We start from the raw sequence: 6000 nt of genomic DNA on the forward strand, positions 1-6000 counted from the left end.
TGCCCTTAGCTTCTATGTTTTTGCTTTGAACAGCCAGAGTCTGTGACTCTTCAAAGCCATCCCTTGGCCTGTTGGAGCCACTCTGCCCACTTTGCGGAGAGCTACAAGTGACTAGGAGTTCACATCCACCCAGGATGGCCTTCGGCCAACAAATGACTGGTGGTGACATATAGATGCCCAGCCCCCTTCCCTCAAGAGGGTACAAACTCTGGGGTGTAATTTAGACTCTAGAGCATCCCTATGGGATGAAGCAGAGACTGGGGCTCTGTCTGAAATTTCTCGCTTGCTTAGCTTCTTTCTATTCCTTGTCCTATCTCCTTCATTACCTTATCTGTTCCCCCCAAAAGTCCTTCCTTAACATATTGCTTGCACACAACTCCTCATCTCAAGGTCTGCTTCCAAAGAACCCCATGTAAGACCTGAGATGAAGTTTACCTGCTCCAATCCTTTCATTTCACCAATGCTTAGCCCAATCTGTCTGTCAAGAACATGTACCATGTTCTGGGCATGGTTTAGGCATGGAGAAGTGCCAATCTCTAGGAAAGTGGAAATGACAGTCTTTTGACCCAGGCTTACATTATCTTCTGTCAGGGCCAGTTTGAGAGTTCAAGGGAATGTGTTACCAGTCACAAGTACGTGAATTACCTCATGCATTCAGCATTCATTCAGGCATTATCTACTAACAACACTCATGGAAGCTGGGAAACAGAGAAACCTAATAAAGATTAATTGGAAAATTATGTAAATCATCTACTCCAACCTGAAGTAGGCCAGTAGAAAAATATCCAAAGATTTACCTGAGTCCAACATCATTCACTCAGAAACTATTAAACATTATTATTTGATTCTCAATATCACTTTCTTCTTTTTTCTATTATTATCTCTAAGGTTTACAAATATAAAACATGACCGGAAATTGCTGGTAGAAAGTGGTTTTATTTTTGGCCCCAAGAGATTCTAAACACTCATATGGGAGGTTTCCAGTAAAAGCACCTCTATTCCCACTTTACTTTTTTTTTTTTTTTTTTTGAGATACACTCTGTCACCCAAGCTGGAGTGCAGTGGTGTGATCTTGGCTCACTGCAACCTCTGCCTCCTGGGTACAAGTGATTCTTGTGCCTCAGCCTCCTGAGTAGCTGGGACTACAGGCATGCGCCAACACAACTGGCTAATTTTTGTATTATTAGTAGAGGTGGGGTTTCACCATGTTAGCCAGGCTGGTCTCAAACACCTGACCTCAAGTGATCCACCCACCTTGGCCTCCCAAAGTGCTGGGATTACAGGCGTGAGCCACCGCGCCTGGCCTCCCACTCTACTTTTTAATCATTTATCCAATAAATATTTACAGGGTATGAGCTTTGACTGCTGCCTACCTTCTAATCAGCCATGTTATATTTTTTGCACAGTCCCAGCTGGTCCTCTTTTTCCTAGAACTTATTACTAAACAAACAAACAAACAAACAAAAACAAATAAACAAAAAACAAAATAAATAAGTAATGGTTACAATTCAGATACTATCTGTAGTAGGCAGCATAATAATCCCCCTGAAATACCTATGTCCTAATCCACAGAATCTGTGAGCATGTAATTTCACATGGCAAAAGGACATTGAAGTTGCAGATGGAATTAAGGTTACCAATCAGATGACCTTAAATAGAGAGATTATCCTAGATTACCTAGATGGGTGCAATGCAATCAGAAGAGTCCTTAAATGTGGAAGAGGGAATCAGGAGTATCAGTGTCGGAGTAATGGGATGTGAGCAAGGCTTAAGTGGCCACTGCTAACTTTGAAAATGGGAGAGGACCATGAGCCAAGGAGTGAAGACAGCCTCTAGAAGTTGGAAAAGAAAATGGATTCTCCCTTAGAGCCTCCAGAAAGGAACACAGCCCTGCCAACACCTTGGTTTTAGCCCAGTAATACTAATTGTATATAATGGAATTGGAAAATAATAAATTTGTGCGTGGGTTTTTTTGTCTTGTTTTGTTTTTTTGAGACGGAGTCTTGCTCTGTCACCCAGGCTGGAGTGCAATGGCATGATCTCGGCTCACTGTAACCTCCGCCTCCCAGGTTCAAGCGATTCTCCCACCTCAGCCTCCCGAGTAGCTGAGATTACAAGCGCCTGCCACCATGCCAGCTAATTTCTGTATCTTTAGTAGAGATGAGGTTTTACCACATTGGCCAGGCTGGTCTTGAACTCCTGACCTCAAATGATCTGTCCGCCTCGGCCTCCCAAAGTGCTGGGGTTACGGGCCTGAGCCACTACACCTGGCCAAATTTGCGTTATTTTAAGCCACTAATTTTGTGATAATTTGTTACAGCAACAATAGGAAATTGATATGCCATCTGCTTTCCAGATTCATTGCTGCATCTGAAGAAACTACGAAACCTTTGCCTGTGTCACAGGCATAATTCATATGTCAATCACTCAATTTTGACTTCCCTACCTGTCTTTGAAATGCCCTGCTATTCTTTCTGGCTGTCACTAGTGTCTTCTATATTTGAGCTCTATTGCAATCACGGGTCAAGTGCCATTGCTTTCTTCTGGCCTCAGTACAAAACTAACACCAACAATAATAAATATTTTCCAGCTTAGAAGTGGTAATTCCCCTTGCAATTTATACTTTGTGGTATCCAGCTTCCTTTTCTGCTTCCCGTTCCATTTTTACAGTCTGTTTCATTTGAGACTTTGGAGATAATGATGTTCAGTGATGATAGCAATAAAAAATGAAATACAGATGGGTTTATGACAAGAGGAAATTTGCCAACTTCTCTGGACAACATATATTAAGACCAAAGACACAGAGTGATGGCATCAGTATCACCAAGGCCCCAAATAATTCCATATATGCATTACTTATACCCTAATTTATTCCTTTATTCATTCGATTGAACATTTACAAGTATCGATTGAGTGCTGACCCTGTGCCAAAAACTGCTCTAGTTACGATTATGAGGATTCACCCATGACAAAGATCTCTGCCCTTGTGAAATTTATATTCTGCTGTGGGGAAGTAGGCAATAAACTAGATAGACAAATAATAAAATAGGTTGATGATGTGAAGTGCAATGAGATAAAAGAGCAGGATAAGCAGGATTAAGTAGGGGTGCTGCCATTTACATCAGGTGGACAAGGTAAGCCTCACTTTAAAAAGTGTATTTGAGGCTGAGCATGGTGGCTCATGCCTGTAATCCCAGCACTTTGGGAGGCCGAGGCAGGTGGATCACCTGAGGTCAGGAGTTCGAAACCGGGCTGGCCAACACGGCGAAACCCCGTCTCTAAAAAAATACAAAAATCAGCCTGGCGTGGTGGCACATGTCTGTAATCCCAGCTACTCCAGAGGCTGAGGCAGAAGAATCGCTTGAACCCAGGAGGTGGAGACTGCAGTGAGCCAAGATCTCGCCACTGCACTCCAGCCTGGGTGACAGAGCAAGACCCTATGTAAAAAAAAAAAAAAAAAAGTGAACAAATAAAAGTAAAAAGTGACATTTGAGAAAATACTTGAAGAAATTGAGAGAATCATTTCAGACAGAGGAGCAACCAGTTCAATGGCTGTGAGTGAAGGGCAAGCCTGGAGGGTTGGAGAAGTAGCAAGGTCAGTAGCTAGAGCAGGAGCAAGGGGGAGAGAGTTAGGCAACGAAGTAGAAAAGCAATTGAGGGGAAGACTCTGACTTTGAATCCAGATGAAAAATAGGGAGTAGCCAGGCACGGTGGCTCACACCTGTAATCCTAGCACTTTGGGAGGCTGAGGCAGGTGGATCATCTGAGGTCAGGAGTTTGAGACCAGCCTGGGCAACATGGGGAAACCCCATCTCTACTAAAAATACACAACATTAGCTGGGCATGGTGGCGGGCATCTGTAATCCCAACTACTCAGGGAGCTGTGGCTGAAGACTTGCTTGAAGCCGGGAGGCGGAGGTTGCAGTGAGCTGAAATCCCGCCACTGCACTCCAACCTGGTGACAAAGCAAGACTCTGCCTCAAAAAAAAAAAAAAAAAAAAAAATGAAAAGAAAAATAGGGAGCCATTATATGTGACATGACCTCATTACGTTTTAAATCGATTGTCTGGCCAGGAGTGGTGACTCATGCCTGTAATCCCAGCACTTTGGGAGTCCAAGGCAGGTGGATCACCTGAGGTCAAGAGTTTCAGACAAGCCTGGCCAACATGGTGAAACTCTGTCTCTATTAAAGATACAAAAAAAAAAAAAAAATAGCCAGACATGGTGGTGCACACCTGTAATCCCAGCTACTCAGGAGGCTGAGGCAGGAGAATTGCTTGAACCTGGGGGGGTGGAGGTTGCAGTGAGCCAAGATTTGTGCCACTGCACTCTAGTCTGGGTAGCAGAGCAAGACTCTGCCTCTAAATAAATAAATAAACAGATTATCCTAGTTGCTAAGAATCTACTGTAGAGAAGCAATAGAGAGAGCGGGGCACCATGCATTAAGCAATTTCAGTAATCTAGCTGAGAGATGATGGCTGGAGCTAGGGGGCAGCAGGGGTGGGAAGAGATCAGATTCTGGTTATATTTTGAAGGTAGAGCCAAGATGATTTCCTGTTAGACTGGACATGAACTATGTCAGAAAGAAAAGGATAAAAGATGACTCCAAGCTCTTTAGCTTAGCAACTAGGATGGCGTGTTCAGTCATTGAAATATGGAAAACAATACGGAGAAGATTATTTATGGAGTAGGGGGAGATCAGGTCAAGTTGGGACATGTTAATTCCGATACATCTAACAGATATCCGAGTGGAGATATCAACCAGGCAGTGGAATATATGAGCCTAGAATTCAGGAGACATTTCTGGATTGGAAATATATTTTTTAGAATCACAAACATATAGTTTATATTTAAAGTCATGAGAATAAAATTGAGATCACCTAAGGGAATGGGTGCAGATACAGAGAAGTGGCCAAAATCTCAGTAAGAGGTCAAGGAGATGGGAAGAATCTACAGAGAAGGTTGAAAAAGATGAGTCAGGCAGGGTGCGGTGGCTCACGCTTGTAATCCCAGCACTTTGGGAGGCTGAGGTGGGTGGATCACTTGAGGTCAAAAGTTTGAGACCAGCCTAGCCAACAGGGCAAAACCCCATCTCTACTGAAAATACAGAAATTAGCTGAGCATGGTGGCACACGCCTGTAGTCCCAGCTACTTGTGAGGCTGAGGCAGGAGAACGGCTTGAGCCCAGGAAGTGGAGGTTGCAATGAGCCAAGATCACACCACTGCACTCCAGCCTGGGCAACAGAGAGAATCTCAGTCTCAAAAAAAAGAAAAGAAAAAGAGGATGTAGGAGGAAAACCAGTAGAGTGTGAAGACCTGAAACCCAAGTGAGGAAGTGCTCCCAGGAAGAGAAAGTGATCAACTAAGAAGCAGACTGAGGTTTGTCCGCATTGAGGATTTAGTGGCATTGGAGTCATTGGTTAACCTTGATTGGAGCACTTTCTTGGAGTTCTGATGGCAATGCCTAATTTGAGAAAAGGAGACTAGGGGGAAAAACATAGACAGATCTTTTGAGGAATTTTGTTTAGCCACACTAAAGAGAAGCAAAGATTGAAGCTATAGCAAGAGAAGTGAAGTCAAGAGAGTGTTTCTTTTACAATAAGAAAATTAATAGCACGAATAAATGTGCTGACAGGAATGATCAAAAGGAGAGGGAGAAATTGATATTGGTGCAGAGGGAAGAACTGTTGAAGCTATGTTTTTGAACAGGCTGTAGGAGATGGTACAGAGCAGTGGTTCCTAAGCTTCAGGGTGAGTCGGAATGCCCTAGAGGGCCTGCAAACACACAGATTGCAGGGCCCCCACCCCTAGAGTTTCTCATTCAGTCCATCTGGAGTGGAACCTGAGAACTTGCATTTCTTTCTTTCTTTTTTTTTTTTTTTTTGAAACAGTCACCCGGGCTGGAGTGCAGTGGCACGATCTCAGCTCACTGCAACCTCCACTTACCAGGTTCAAGCAATTCTCCTGTCTCAGCCTCCCAAGTAGCTGGGATTACAGGTG

This window comes from Homo sapiens, chromosome 20 (genome assembly GCF_000001405.40).
Source record: "Homo sapiens chromosome 20, GRCh38.p14 Primary Assembly".
Taxonomy (NCBI): Eukaryota; Metazoa; Chordata; class Mammalia; order Primates; family Hominidae; genus Homo; species Homo sapiens.